This window comes from Homo sapiens, chromosome 19 (genome assembly GCF_000001405.40).
Source record: "Homo sapiens chromosome 19, GRCh38.p14 Primary Assembly".
Classification (NCBI taxonomy): Eukaryota; Metazoa; Chordata; class Mammalia; order Primates; family Hominidae; genus Homo; species Homo sapiens.
In genome coordinates, this window is record NC_000019.10 from 49,308,386 (window position 1) to 49,324,585 (window position 16,200).

A 16,200-nucleotide genomic window follows, 5' to 3' on the forward strand; every position below is an offset into this window, starting at 1 on the left:
GAGCTTGCAGTGAGCCAAGTTCGCGCCACTGCACTCCAGCCTGGGTGAAAGAGCGAGACTCCATCTCAAAAAATAAAAATAAAATAAAATAATGGGGGCCTTCTACTTCTCCATTTTTCCAAGGATGGCCTTGGAAGTCTCTGTGTGGTATGGTCTTGGATGGTATTTTGTTGTGTATCTGGGATTAGAGAAGCCTTCAATGTTTGCAATTTTTAGTACATCCCTGTTAGCATATCCACTCTGAGGTGGATAGCTGGCAATCTCTGAGTTTGAAGATTTATTTCTAGGGTGACAAAAGGCTCTGAGAAGGATAATATATGATAGGAGATTCTATTGTCTCCATTTTTAGCTATGGGGAAGGTAGAGGGCTTGCAAGTGCACCCAAGGTTGAAATGTGTGAACATGGGTCTTTGCAGCACCTTTAAGGTTAGGGTCTCAGGGTTTTAAAGTTCCCTGGAGCTGAGACCCTTAACAAAGGGGCCGGCCTTACCTCTCACAGCAGCGATGTGTGATGACTGTCGCCCAGAAGCCCAGGACACAGAAGTTGAAAGATGTGAAAACCAACAAAGTGAGCAGGTTTATCACAGACACGAGAAAGGCATCACTGAGACAGTTGTTGGACTGGGGCATGTAGGAGGCTAAGGAGGCAACGGAGCCAAGGCCTATGCCTGTGTTAGACAAAACTTGACCCCCTGCTAGAGACCACACACTCATATTGTACACATCCGATATCTAAAAGAGAGAAGACAAGCATAAGGGGGTTGTAAAAGAAGAAGCAGAGGACAACTATAATAGAAATGTTGCAGGGAGGAGAGAGGGAGATACAAAAGTAAAGAATGGGGAAAGGAAGCTCTAAGAATAGGCAGCTGTGGTGCCCTACAAGGCCTGACGGGGGAGTGAGGAGATAGATTTCACCTTGGCAACCACCAACTGTTGAAGGCCAAATTTTGCCCCTTCCAGGAGTAGAGTCCGGATGAAGAAACCGACAATGATGAAACAGGGGAGCAGTACCAAGACATAGATTACCTGAATCGAGAGTGGGACATATCAGCAACCGTGTACCAGTAGGGGTCAACCAACAGTTAGGAGGGATCAAAAGTTCTGAGTCAGAAATGAGTAGGAGTTAGAAGAAAGCCTTCAGCAAGAGTCAGGGGCTAGGGGAGTAAAAGCCAAAGGAGTAAGAGATTAGGAGATCAACAAGTAACAAATTGAGGTAAGGGCTAAAGCATCTGAGAATTTCAAGGAATCCAATACTGGTGGCTCACCTTCCCAGTGGACTTGAGCCCATTGATCATGAAAGCACCAACAAGACACCAGCAAAGAAAGAAGGGCAGGACCAGACTGTAGACTGGTGACCCGCCATCCTCGATTCTGTCTGAGGCCTTCAAGGCCTGCTGGTACCAGAAGTATATGGAGGGTGTTGTCCGTTCACATTCAGGATCTGGGGGGACCTGGCTTTAGACATGCCTGCTAGACAAGGTACCCCCTCTTCTTCCTTATCCCCTCCCCCACCTCCCTTTTCTCTTTCCCTCTCCCATTTCTTTTTCCTTCTTCTTCCTCTTCCTTGTCCCTCCCCACTCTCTCCTATTCCAAATTCCCTTCTACTTCTACTTCTCCATTTTTCCCTTCTCCTCTTCTTTCACTTCCTCCTCACCAAAGCCACTAGAGTTCATCGTTAAGGGACATTTCTCCCATGGAACGGGAAACTGGAAGGACTGGCTCATGTAGAAGATGATCCAGGAATTGACCACATTGAAGTACAGGCCGAGGATGAAGCACACCTGGGGGCCAAGGAGGATATGGCTGGGGAGGAAGAGCAGGGACAGGAAAAGGGAGGGGATTTGACAGAGGATTGGGGAACCAAAGGGATCTGACCCATGGAGGTATTCACAGGGCGCATTTCAGGAGGAGGGTTGGGATGGCGGTGGGGTGTAAAAGTCAGGCCTGGGCAGCCATGGGCTCCTCACCATGAAGCTAGAATACCCCACACCACCAATCCAGGGGGCAATGATCTTCCATACACCCATGCCACCCTGACGCATGCTCTGACCAGCTGCCATCTCCAGGAAGAGAAGAGGAACCCCGACCAGGAACAGCATGAAGATGTAGATGGCAGCGAAACTGCCTGTGAAGAAGATTCAGAAGGGACTCTGAGAACCATGTGGCCTTTCAGTGCCTGGACTCCAGGAGCCCAGGAAAACATTCTCCCTACCAGCGACCTCTTCCAGGGCCACAGGCATCAGGGCTCACCCATGTCTACATCCCTCACGGTCCCAAGTGTCCAGTCCTCTGGCCCCCAAATCCTGGAAGACCCAAGTACCTAGTTTCCAGCCCATCTTGGGCCCAGGCCTCCAGCTTTGCCATCCCCATGTTCAGATACCCTGAACCTCTCATGATCCTAAGTGTCCAGGGACCTGGCTCCTATCCTGCTCAGAGCACCAGGTCTTTAGTCTCTACATATCTCAGAAACATTCATGGTTAAAGCCTGGACAGGACTCTGTCCTGATTGCCCCTTGTGGACCCAGGTTTCCTGGTCCCCAGACTTACAGCCTCCACTGTTAAGCCACAGGTAGGCAAAGCGCCAGAGACAAGATGGCTTCATAGAGAAGCCCACCTGAGCCAGAATATACTCAGTTTTGCTGGACCAGAACGGACGGGCAAGGAGGACCTCACTCTCTTTCTTCTCTGTCATCTGCACCTTCTCATGCGTGGGTTTCTGGTTCAGGGCTGAGGCAGTTAACGCCTCCAATACAGAAATTTGCTTGGGCTGACTGGTCCTGGCCTGAGCCTCTGCAACCCGGGCTGCTGAAACTTGGGCCTCTGAGGTCCAAGATGTTGCAGACCGGGTCAATGAACCCTTGTCTTCCCACGTTTGACTTCCTGGGACACTGTCAGAAATCACTGTGCCAGTCCATGAGGTGTTTGCCAGCAAGGATGTCGAAGGCTGGGCCTCTGTCTTCATCTCACACAGACTCTCTGGGGCAGCTCCCGCTTCTGCAAGGGAGGGTTCATCTTCCTGAGGAGACCTGAAGGACACCAAAATCTGTAGATTTTAGATTTTAGAGTCAAGTAACTACTGAGTTACAAAACAATCCTCAACATCTCCTTAAAGCAAATTTTATACCACCACTGACATTTAAAGCACAAAAAAATCTCTTGCATAAGTTTCACTTCTTAGAAATGTTTTCACGTGGTGGCTCACGCTGTAATCCCAGCACTTTGGGAGGCCGAGGAAGATGGATCACCTGAGGTCAGGAGTTCGAGACCAGCCCGGCCAACATGGTGAAACCCCGTCTCTACTAAAAATACAAAAATTAGCTGTGTATAGTGGCAGGCACCTGTAATCCCAGCTACTCGGGAGGCTGAGGCAGGAGAATCGCTTGAACCCAGGAGGCGTAGGTTGCAGTGAGCCGAGATCAGGCCACTGCACTCCAGCTTGGGAGACAGAGTAAGGCTCCATCTCAAAAAAAAAAGAAAAAAAAAAAAGAAATGTTTTCTTGTACAGGATAGGGATAGAGACAGACATACCCAAGAGTCAGGAATCCCTGAAATCAAAGGATTTCTTTTTTTTTTTTCCAGCTACTGGGTTCAAGCGATTCTCCTGACTCAGCCTCCCAAGTAGCTGGGATTACAGGCGCCCACTACCACACCTGACTAATTTTTGTATTTTTAGTAGAGCCAGGTTGGTCTTGAACTCCTGACCTCAAGTGATCCGCCCACCTCAGCCTCCCAAAGTGCTGGAATTACAGGTGTGAGCCACTGCACCCAGCCTGAAATAAAAGGATTTCTAAGAACACTGAAGTACTATTTACAGAGGGCTTCTGAATTTAAAAACAAAACTAAACTAAACTAAACTAATTTAATACTAAATCTGCCTTGTAACCTTAGAAAAGTTACTTTACCTTTCTGAGCTTTCTAATCTGTAAAACACTCAGATCTCTGCTCAAATATAGCCTCACCAGAGATGCCTTCCCTGTCCACCTATCTAAAATAGCAGCTACCTACCCACAACTCTCTTTACTTCATGGCATTTCTCATCTCCTGACTTTATTATCTATTGATTGTTAATTTATTCATTGTCCATCTCTGCCTACTGCTCTATCTCCAGCAAAAGGATGGTGTTCTACCTCACATCTAGGGCTATTCTCCTCCTTATTCTCCAAGTTCCCGCCACTCTGAACTTCTGTTGGCTCTTCAAATACAAGAGAAAAGGCAAGGAGTGTGCTGAAAAAAAAAAAGTTACATGAAAGAGAGGAAGAGAGAGGGGAAACTGGAGTTTTCTTTCAGTGGGGGAAGGAGCATGCTTTCCAAAAGCAGAGGCAGTAGATGGGCTTCAAGGCAGCACTGGCACATTTGGGTGACATGGATAACTGCTTGTGAGACACAGCTTCCAAAGAGCTCTTTGTTACACAAGAAAATGCTTATAATTCAATTACAGGTTAAAAACATAAGACTAAGATACAAATTTCTATCTTTAGTTCTATCTCTACTACATTTAAAAATGCAATGAAAGGCTGAAAGGAAATACATCAATATACAGAAGATGATCAGGCCAGGCGCAGTGGCTCACGCCTGTAATCTGAGCTACTCAGGAGGCTGAGGCAGGAGGATCGTTTGAACACAGGAGGCGGAGGTTGCAATGAGCCGAGATCGCACGACTGCACTCCAGCCTGGGCAACCCTGTCTCAAAAAAAAAAAAAAAAAAAAAAAGACGATGATGGCTACAAATATGTTTATATCCTTATCCCTGCTTTTACATTAAATTTTTTAAAATCTTGTATTACTTTTTTTTCAGACACAGGTTCTCACTCTGTCACCCAGGCTGGAATGCAGTGGCATGATCCACAGTTCACTGCAGCCTTGAACTCCTGGGTTCAAAGGATCCTCTCACCTTATCCTCCAAAGTACCTAGGACTATAGGCATGTGCCACCATACTCAGCTAATTTTTAAAAGTTTTTTTCAAGATGGGAGTCTCACTATGATGCTCAGGCTGGCCTCGAACTCCTGTGCTCAAGTGAGTCTCCGGTCTCAGCCTCCAGAGTAGGTGGCATTACAGGCACAAGCCACCATTCCCCACTCACCTGTATTACTTTAATAATCAATAAAAATACGGCCAGGCATGGTGATTCATGCCTGTAATCCCAGTACTTTGGGAGGCCAAGGCAGGCGGATCACTTGAGGTCAGGAGTTTGAGACCAGCCTGGCCAACATGGCAAAACCCTATCTCTACTAAAAATGCAAAAAAAAAAAAAAAAAAAAAATAGCCGGACATGGTGGCAGGCACCTGTAATCCTAGTTACTAGGGAGGCTGACTTAGGAGAATCACTTGAATCGGGAGGCAGAGGTTACAGTAAGCCAAGATCATACCACTGTACTCCAGCCTAGGTGACAGAGTAAGACTCTGTCTCAAAAAAATAATAATAATCAGCCGGGCACAGTGGCTCACGCCTGTAATCCCAACACTTTGGGAGGCCGAGGTGGGTGGATCACCTGAGGTCAGGAGATCGAGACCATCCTGGCTAACACGGTGAAACCCCATCTCTACTAAAAGTACAAAAAATTAGCCAGGCACAGTGGCGGGCGCCTGTAGTCCCAGCTACTCAGGAGGCTGAAGCAGGAGAATGGCGTGAACCTGGGAAGCGGAGTTTGCAGTGAGCTGAGATCACGCCACTACACTCCAGCCTGGGCAACAGAGTGAGACTCCGTCTCAAAAAAAAAAAAATCATAATCATAATCATAATCATAATCAAGAAAAAATATGTATTGATAAGTGAAAATAAAAAGATCATAATGGACAAAGAAATCCAATTGAAGAAGCTCTCATCAGCGAAATCTGGACAAATCAGAACATCAAAATAAAGAATAGTAACAGATGAGAACCAACAGACTAAAACAAGAATCCATGAATCCACAGGGATACAACTCAGGAAAAGGAAAACCTCTTCCTTATAGTAGAATACAAACTAATAAATGTACAAGGAACGATGAATTAGAAGGTCACTGCTTATCATAAACTAATCAAGTTGTACACATGAAATATGTACAGTTTTTTACTTGTCAATCATCCCTCAATAAATATGTCTTTTTAACAAATCATTGTTTGGAAATTACCAGAGTAATAACTGACACAAGCAAGAATCATCAATGGTTGCTAAAACAAGATGATGAAAATTTGATGGGGACAGGATAATTGCATAGTATTACTGTATCTCCCCACAAGATATTCCCCCCAAAAAAACCCAAGAAACTAGTATCTTTAGAGTATTACACACTACCTAAACCAATAATAGTCACCTGATATCATATAACTCCTGATACAATGCATTAAGAGCACAACATCATTTCTGTGGGATTCCTGCCAAAAACATGTAACAAAACTCCAATCGTGAGGAAACACCAGAAAACAAATCTAAATTGAAGTACATTCTGTAAAATAGCTGGCCTGTGCTCAGTAAAAATGTCACAGTCAATAAAGACAAGGAAAGATGGAAGTGTTGTAAGTCTGAAATTATGTCAAAATTTTGTTAAATTTTTTAAACTTCCAAGCACCTGCCACTCCTACAATTCACCATCAAAACAAAAGGAAGTTTCTTCTAAGATAGCCACATGAACACCAATCTCCAAACTTACCCACAATCTCCCCCTACCCAACAAAAAAAAAAACCAATGATTTTAAAATATTACAAATATGGGGATATCTGCATCATTTCTGAAAAATAGGTTCCATCCTCATGTCAAAAACAGAGAAACTTCTGCTACATAAACAAGAAACAGGACCAAACTGTAATCACTGAGGAGTCAGTTCACATCTCTTTTTCCTGATGAAGTGGTTCAGTGTTTCAGGAAGTAAGTAAATACTTTCCCAGCAACTTGTGGGAAATAAAAACAATCACTTGCCAAAGACCTTCTGCTCCAGTGAACCAACAGCTTCCAGAAGCTGTATGCCAGAGAATGCAACAGCAGGTGGGCCACTCCTCTGTTATTGGATTTATTGGAGTTATTGGTGGGTTGATGGGCGTCTCCCTGAGACAAATGATGCTTCCATAACATTAAGAGAGAAGCAGAAAATCATGCAGGGAAGAAAAGGCTGAAGAAAAAATTAGGTACAAAAATCCAGCCTTTGGGGCTGGTCATGGTGGCTCATGCCTGTAATCCCAGCCCTTTGGGAGGCTGAGGCAGGAGATGTTTTATGTAAGCTTCGTGGTAACTACAAAGCAAAAAACTCAGTAGAGATGATTCAAAGCATACCACTAGAGAAAATCAATATAATTAGTCACATTGATATAATAAAGAAGAAAAATATTATCATCTCAAGAGATATAGGAAAAACATACAATACAATGATGATTTACGGAGAAAAACTTTTAGCAAACCAGGAATAATTTCCCTAACCTGATAAATGGTGTCTCTCAAAAAAAAAAGATTATACTTAATAGTGAACATATGCTTAAACATAGGCACATATTTAATAATGAAGTGAAGAAAGCTTGCCTTTTGAAATCAAGAACAATCAATGAAACCAGCTATCAGCACTTCCTTCCCATTGCATTAAATATTTTAGACAACACAGGAAAGCAAGGGGAATAAAAGACAAAGATTAAACAAAACTCACTATTCACAGATGATATATCTATGTGGAAGATCCAGAATACTACAGATAAATTATTTAAATTAATAAGATAATTTAGCAAGATTGTTGGATGCAAACAGCAATAAATGAAAATTATTTATATGTCTATGCTTGCAATACATAATTAGAAAATAAAATTTTAAAATAATAATGCCACTTATAAAATAATTTTTTAAATATAGAGTAAAATCCTGGGAAGGTAATGGCAATAACAGCAACATTGTTTTAAAATCTTCCCAAATACTCACATGAAAACAAGTAGTTCTACTAGATTGCAAGCCCAAAATCCATGGATAATATTTACAATATCAAGATAAACCCCAAAAGACAAGTCTATGAGAACAAACCACAAGAGCCACAGACCTGTATAGAATCAGCATCTGTGTGGGAGGAAACAAAGGAAGCAAGAGAGCATCTGACAGACCTGGGGATGGGGGACAGGGAAACCAGTCTCTCAAAATAATCAACAGGTACTCACCAGAAATCATGGGAAGGCTATTAGAGAACAGCAGCTAAAACTAGAAGATGTCTTGCCTAATCCAATAACAGTTGAGTGCATGGAGTCAACAATAGAAACTGAAGGGACCAGGGCAGACTAGATTCTATGAACTCTTAAAATTAACCAACCAGGGATCTTTTCCAACCCAGAGGCCACAATGAGGAGAAATTCCTGTGAGTAAAGCCAAATTGAGCAATACAAGAACAAGAATGATGAAGGATAGGCCAGACACAGTGGCTCATGCCTGTAATCCTAGTACTTTGGGAGGCCAAGGCAGGAGGATCACTTGAGGCCAGGAATTCAAGATAAGCCTTGACAATGCAGTGAAAACCCATCTCTACCAAAAAAAAAAAAAAAAAATTAAAATTAAAATTAGCCAGGCATAGTGGGACACGCCAGTGGTCCCAGCTATTTGGGAGGCTAAGTGGAGAGGATCGCTTGAGCCCAGGAGTTCAAGGTTGCAGTGGGCTATGATCACACCACTGAACTCCAGCCTGAGCAACAGAGTGGGACCTCATTCTCTAAAAAAATAAAATAAAATAGGCCAGGTGCAGTGGTTCATGCCCGTAATCCCAGCACTTTGAGAAGCCAAGGCAGGAGGATCACTTGAAGTCAGGAGTTTAAGACAAGCCTGGCCAATATGGTGAAACCCCATCTCTACCAAAAAATACAAAAATTAGCCAGGCATGGTGGGACACACCTGTAGCCCCAGCTACTCGGAAGGCTGAGGTGAGATAATTACTTGAATCCAGGAGGGGGAGGTTGCAGTGAGCCAAGATTGCACCACTGCACTCCAGCTTGGGCAACAGAGTAAGACCCTATCTCAAAAATAATAACAATAATAATAAAATAAAATTAATTAATTAAAAGATAATTTTAAGAAAACATAGAAATGAAGGATATACAGGATCCAGATAAAAATGGGGAGAAGAAATTTCCACTTTTGACCATGAAAGCAAAACAGTGTCTGGAGTTACCTCCACAAAAACACTACAAAACTGTACAAATAGGCCAGGCGCCGTGGCTCACGCCTGTAATCCTAGCACTTTAGGAGGCCGAGGCGGGCGGACCACGAGGTCAGGAGATCAAGACCATCCTGGCTAACATGGTGAAACCCCATCTCTACTAAAAATACAAAAAATTAGCCGGGCATGGTGGCGGGCGCCTGTAGTCCCAGCTACTCGGGAGGCTGTGGCAGGAGAATGGCGTGAACCCAGGAGGTGGGGCTTGCAGTGAGCAGAGATCGCACCACTGCACTCCAGCCAGGGCAACACAGCGAGACTCCGTCTCAAAAAAAAAAAACTGTACAAATAATTAAAACAACTATTTTCACATATTAAACAAAGGCAGTACAGCATTGCAATCTCTAAAAAAAGGCCAGAAAACAAGGTAACTAATTGCACGATTGCCCCATTTTTCTGCTAATTTCCAAACTTTGGCACAGGAGGAAGAATACAAACAGAGCCTGGCAGTCTCAGCACTTGAGGAGGCAAAAGTCAGTTCAGGAAGGCTTAGGTGACTAGAATTAGCTGGGCTAAGTACTCAACAGAAGGGAGCCACAGAGAAAGAGCTCTAGGAATCTGGATAAAGTACCTTCGAGCCATTAGCTAAATATCAACCTGCACATGTATAGTATGAAACCTCATAAGAACAGGCAAAGAATAAATTCCAAGGAAAGAAAAGTACTGGGGAACTACAGGTAAAACAATTCCTAGAACTTGGAGAAGAACAAGAATTACTCAAGTTTCCATCAGCCAGTGTGGAGAGACTTTACTGAATACTTGGAACATTTAAAGTGGCATAAACTAGCTCTAGTTCTAGTAGTAGGACTACTTTAGACCTGAAAAAAAAAAATTCTTAAAAGCAACCCTTAAACAGCCAAAACTGATCTTCAAGTAACTTAACTGCCTGTCACAACAAAGGCCAACATTCCTTAAGATAATACAGACAAACCTAGCACTGAACAACAAAAAATTCATAATGTCAACCATCTAGTCAAAAATTACTAGACATGCAAAAAAGCAGGAAAAGTGACCCATAATCAGACAACAAAAACAGAAATGATAGACTAATGGAATTAACACACCATAACACTAAAATAGCTGTTACAAATATGCTTAATATGGTCAAGGACTTAAAAGGAAAACATGAACAGAATGAGGAATATAAGATAGCTAGATAGCTAGCTAGCTAGACAGACAGATAGATATTTTCTCTTTTGAGACAGAGTCTCACTCTGTTGCCCACACTGATCTCAGCTCACTGCAGCCTCTGCCTCCAAGTTTCAAGCAATTCTCCTTCCTCAGCCTCCCAAGTAGCTGGAATTACAGGTGTGCACCACCACAACTGGCTATTTTTTTTTTTTTTTTTTTTTTTTAGTAGAGACAGGGTTTTGCCATGTTGGCCAGGCTGGTCTCGAACTCCTGATCTCATGTGATCCAGCTACCATGGCCTCCCAAAGTGCTGGGATTACAGGCATGAGCCTCCATGCCTAGCCATGATATATTTTAAACATCAAATAGAACTTCTAGAGATGATACAACACCTGAAATGAAAATTTCACTGAAGATTACTGGCAGATTTTAATAAATCAGTGAACTTAAAGATATAGCAATAGAAACAATCCAAAATGAAGCACAAAGAAAAAAAAAAGACTGAAAACAATTACCAGAGCATTAGTGACTGTGAGACAATATCAAATGGCCTAAAATGTGTAACTGGAGGTCCAAAATAAAGGGAGGATGGGAAAATGAAACCAGGCCAATTTTCCAACAAGCCAGATGCCCATAGAACTGAAGCTTGAGAAACTTACATTTGTACAATGAGATGAACCTGCTGTATGTTGACCAAGTACTCTTCTTTACTCCTCCCTAATTCCTTCATATATGTGTGTGTGTATATATATATATTTGTATATACATATAAATACATATACATATACATATGTGTATATGTGTATATGTATATACATATACTTATACATATATGTGTATATGTGTATATGTATATACATATACCTATACGATATATACATATACATATATATATCAAGAAAAGACTCACATAATTGAAAGGATAAAAGGACAGTTCTACAATAATAACTGGAGACTTTAATACCCCACTACGAACAATGGACAGAAGCAGCAGACAGAAGATAAGCAAGGAAATAGAGGACTTAACACAATAAACCAACCAGATCTAACAGATGTATTCAGAACACTCTAGCCAACAGCAGCAGAATACACATTCTTCTCAAGTGCACATGGGACATTTTCCAGGAGAGACCACAAATTTGTAGGCCACAAATTTCCTTTTTTTCTCAATAGAATTAGAATGATAAATATCATACAAAATATCTTCTCCAGCCACAATAGGATGAAGTTAGAAATGAATCACAAAAGTAAAATTGAAAATTTTACAAATTTGTAGAAATTAAACAACACACTCTTAAACAACCAATGGATCAAAGAATAAACTACAAGGGGAGTTAGAAAATACTTACAGATAAATGAAAACGAAAACACACATACTAAAATTTATGGGAGGCAACAAAAGCAATGCCAAGGGGGAAATTTATAACTATCAATGGTTACATTAAAAAACAAAAAAGAGGCCGGATGCAGTGGCTCACGCCTGTAATCCCAGCACTTTGGGAGGCTGAGGTGGGTGGATCATTTGAGGTCAGGAGTTCAAGACCAGCTTGACCTACATAGTGAAACCCCATCTCTATTAAAATACAAAAATTAGCTAGGCATGGTGGTGGGCGCCTGTAATCCCAGCTACTCAGGAGGCTGAGGCAGGAGAATCGCTTGAACCTAGGAGGCGGAGGTTGCAGTGAGCCGAGATCACACCACTGCACTCCAGCCTGGGCAACAGAGCAAGACTCCCTCTAAAAACAAACAAACAAACAAACAAAAAAAAACCAGATCTTGAATCAATAACCTAACTCTAAAACTTAAGAAACTAGAAAAGCAAACTAAACCCAAAGCTAGCAGAAGAAAATAATAAAAATTAAAGCAGAAATGAATAGAGAATAGAAAAACAATAGAGAAGCCAAAAGTTGTTTCTTTAAAAATATCAACAAAATTGACAAACCTTTAACTAGATGTACTAAGAAAAAAAGAGAAGACTCAAATGATTAAAACCAGAAATGAAAATGGGGACATTATTACCAATTCTACAGAAATAGAAGGATTATAAGAGAGTACTATGAACTTATGAACAACTGTACACCAATAAACTGGATAACCTAGATTAAATGGACAAATTCCTAGAAATACAAATCTACTAAGACTAAATCACAAACAGAAAATCTGAATAGATCTATAACTAGTAAGGAGATTGAATTGGTAATCAAAAATCTCTCAACAAAGAAAAGCTCTGGACCTGATGGCTTCATGGGTGAATTCTACTAAACCTTTAATGAATTAATATCAATCCTTCTCAAACTTTTCCAAAAAATTGGAGAGGAGGGAACACTTCCTCATTCATCCTATAAGGCCAACATTGCCCTAATACCAGAGCCATACAAAGACATTATAAGAAAAGAACACTACAGACCTATATTCATTATGAACTTTGATGCAAAAATCCTCAAAAAAAATACTACCAAACCTAATTCAGCAGCATATTAAAAGGATTATATACCATGACCAAGTGGGATTTATTCCTGGAATGCAAGGATGGTTCTGCATACAAAAATCAATCAATATAATATACCACATTAACAAAATGAAAGAAAAATAATGATTCTCTCAACTGATGCAGAAAAAACATTTGACAAAACTCAATACCCTTTCATGATAAAAAAAAAAAAAAAAACTCAACAATCTAGGAGTTAAAGGAAAATACGGCTGGGCATGGTGACTCATGCCTGTAATCCCAACACTTTGGGAGGCCTGATGACCACTTGAACCCAGGAGTTCAAGACCAGCCTGGGGCCAGGTGCAGTGGCTCACATCTGTAATCCCAGCACTTTGGGAGGCCAAGGCGGGTGGATCACCTGAGGTCAGGAGTTCAAGACCAGCCTGGCTAACATGGTGAAACCTGATCTCTACTAAAAATACAAAAATTAGTCAGATGTGGTGGTGTGCACCTGTAGTCCCAGCTACTTGGGAGGCTAAGGCTGGAGAATCGCTTGAACCTGGGAGGCAGAGGTTGCAGTGAGCCAAGATCATACCACTGCACTCCAGCCTGGGTGACAGAGCAAGACTCCATCTCAAAAACAAACAAACAAACAAACAAACAAAATTTTTAATTACCTGGGTGTGTTGATGTACTTCTGTAGTCCTAGCTACTCATGAGGCTGAGATGGGAGAATCACTTCAGCCCAGGAGGTCAACGCTACAGTGAGCCATGATGACACCACTACACTCCAGCCTGGGTCACAAAGTGACACCATGTCTCAGCAAAAAAAAAAAAAGGAAAATATCCCAACATAATAGCCATATACGAAAAACTCACAGCAAATGTCATACTTAATGATAAAAGACTGTAAGCTTTTCCTCTAAGATTAGAAACAAGCGTAGAATGTCTAATTTTGCCACTTTTATTCAACATAGTACTGGAAGTCCTAGCCAGAGAAATTAGGCAAAAATATAAATAAATAAAAGGAAACCAAACTAGAAAGATTATATGATCTTATACGTAGAAAATCCTAAAATTTTCACCAAAAAAATTTTTGAGCTAATAAATGAATTCAGCAAAGTAGCAGGATACAAAGTCAACAATCAAAACTCAGTTGCATTTTTATACACTAACAATGAACAATCTGAAAAGAAAATTATGAAAACAATTCCATTTGTAATAGCATCAGAAAGAATAAAATACTTAAGAATTAACTTGGCTGGGCACGGTGGCTCAAGCCTGTAATCCCAGCACTTTGGGAGGCCAAAGTGGGCAGATCACCTGAGGTCAGGAGTTCGAGACCAGCCTGACGAACATGGAGAAAACCCGTTTCCATTACCAAGTTACCCAGGCATGGTGGCACATGCCTGTAATCCCAGCTACTCAGGAGGCTGAGGCAGGAGAATCACTTGAACCTGGGAGGCAGAGGTTGCAGTGAGCCGAGATTGCACCATTGCACTCCAACCTGGGCAACAAGAGTGAAACTCCATCTCAAAAAAAAAAAAAAAAAGAATTAACCAAGAAGGTGAAAGACATGTACAAAGAAAACTACAAAACATTGCTGAAAAAAATTAAAGGAGACATAAATAAATGGAAAAATATCCCATGTTCATGGGTTGGAAGACAACACTGTTAAGATGTCAGTATTACCCAAAGCAATCTACAGAATTAGTAGCTTTTTTTTTTTTTTTTTTTTTTTTTTTTTTTTTTTTTTTTTTTTTGCAGAAATAGAAAAACACGTCCTAAAACTAACATGAAATCTCAAGGGACCCTGAACAGCCAAAATAATCTTGAAAAAGAAGAAAAACGCTGGTGTACTCACATTTCCTGATTTCAAAACATATTACAAAGCTATAGTAATCAAAATAGTGTGTTACTCACATAAAGATACAGACCAAGGGAACAGAATAGAGGGCCCAGAAACAATGTATGGAAAAATGATTTTTTACAAGGGTGCCAAGACTACTCAATGAGTAAAGGACAGTCTTTTCAACAAATGGTGCTGGGAAAACTGGATTATGTACAGGCAAAAGAGTAAAGATGGACTCTTACCTAACACCACATACAAATACACAAAATAAATCAAAGACCTAAATGTAACACTTAAAATTATAAAATTCTTAGAATAAAACATACGACAAAAGCTTCATGATAGTGGATCTGCAATGAATTCTTGGATATGATACCAAAGGCAAAAGCAACAAAAGAAGAAACAAACAGGATTTCATTAAAATGTTTTAAATTTGTGCATCAAGAGACACTATCAAAGGGGTGAAAAGATAACCCACAGAATGGGAGGAAATATCTGAAAATCATATGTATAATAAGAGATTAATATTCAGAATATATAGAGAACTCGTAAAACTCAACAACAAAGAAACAAACAACACAATTCAAAAATGGGCAAAAGACTTAAATAGACATTTCTCCAAGGAAGATATACCAATCTCCAAGAAGTACATGAAAAGATGTTCAACGTCACTAATCATTAAGGAAATGCAAATGAAAACTACAATGAGATAATACCTCGCATCCATTAGGATGGCTAATATAAAAAGGCAGAAAATAAGAAGTGTTGGTGAGGATGTGGAGAAATTGGAATCCTTGTGCCTTGCTGGTCAGAATGTAAAATGGTGCAACCACCATGGAAAACACTATGGTGGTTCCTCAAAAACTTAAAAATAGAATTACCATATGATCCAGCAATTCCACTTCTGGGTATACACCCAAAATAAGTGAAAACCAAGCCTCCAGTGGCTCAGCCTGTAATCCCAGCTCTTTGAAAGGCTGAGGTGGAAGGATTGCTTGAGCCCAGAAGTTCGAGGCTGTAGTGAGAGGTGATCATGCCACTGGACTCCAGCCTGGGAGACAGAGAGAGACCCTGTCTCTTAAAAATAATAATAATAGGCTGGGCACGGGGGTTCACACCTGTAATCTCAGCACTTTAGGAAGCTGAGGCGGGTGGATCGGCTGAGGTCAGGAGCTCGAGACCAGCCAGGCCAACACAGTGAAACCCCGTTTCTACTAAAAATACAAAAAATTAGCTGGGGGTGGTGGCGCACGCCTATAGTCCCAGCTACTTGGGAGGCTGAGGCAGGAGAATCGCTTGAACCTGGGAAGCAGAGGTTGCAGTGAGCTGAGATCGTGCCACTGCACTCCAGCCTGGGTGACAGAGTGGGACTCCATCTCAAATAAATAAATAAATAAAAAATAATAGATTCATGTTTCTTAAACACATTCTAGAACAGTTGTCCTTAAAAGCAAGCTTTACGGAAGGGAGAGAACTGAGTTTTGGCCAGCTGGCCACTTCCAACATCCATAAAGCCCCTTGAGCCCCAGGCGGACTCCTCTTCCCATATGGGTGCAACCCTCCATGGTGCCCCTACACCGTCATCCCAAGCAACTCCTAGGCTCATGCCCTGTGGGGAGTGCTCAGGATCCCCC

At 41.4% G+C, this 16,200-nt stretch overlaps 1 protein-coding gene and 1 non-coding gene across 12 annotated transcripts in view, besides 1 other annotated feature; both read right to left on the bottom strand.

The window, feature by feature from the left end:
* Positions 1 to 16,200, bottom strand: part of SLC6A16 (solute carrier family 6 member 16) — a 50,693-nt gene that overhangs the window by 18,748 nt on the left and 15,745 nt on the right. For 4 of the 11 annotated variants that reach the window (XM_047438703.1, XM_011526860.3, XM_006723168.4 and 1 more), the window contains 6 exons: positions 2,548 to 3,026; positions 1,968 to 2,125; positions 1,655 to 1,781; positions 1,266 to 1,441; positions 916 to 1,026; positions 491 to 732 (listed from right to left, as the gene is read on the bottom strand). In XM_047438703.1, coding sequence (XP_047294659.1) covers positions 491 to 732; positions 916 to 1,026; positions 1,266 to 1,441; positions 1,655 to 1,781; positions 1,968 to 2,125; positions 2,548 to 3,026 — 1,293 coding nt within the window. Of the gene's footprint in view, positions 1 to 490; positions 733 to 915; positions 1,027 to 1,265; positions 1,442 to 1,654; positions 1,782 to 1,967; positions 2,126 to 2,547; positions 3,044 to 4,127; positions 4,225 to 16,200 lie in introns of those variants that run through there. The other 7 variants (XM_047438702.1, XM_047438701.1, XM_024451472.2 and 4 more) reach the window with 5 other exon arrangements.
* MIR4324 (microRNA 4324) lies at positions 412 to 483 on the bottom strand. The gene has a single exon (NR_036209.1). It is a non-coding gene; the product is annotated as a microRNA 4324 (primary transcript).
* Positions 5,206 to 5,428: a silencer, noted in NCBI's record as "fragment chr19:49816848-49817070 (GRCh37/hg19 assembly coordinates)". NCBI's record gives its function as "represses an EF-1alpha promoter that drives an FKBP-Casp9 reporter gene in an ReSE screen in K562 erythroleukemia cells {active_cell/tissue: K562}" and the evidence as "EXISTENCE:reporter gene assay evidence [ECO:0000049][PMID:32094911]".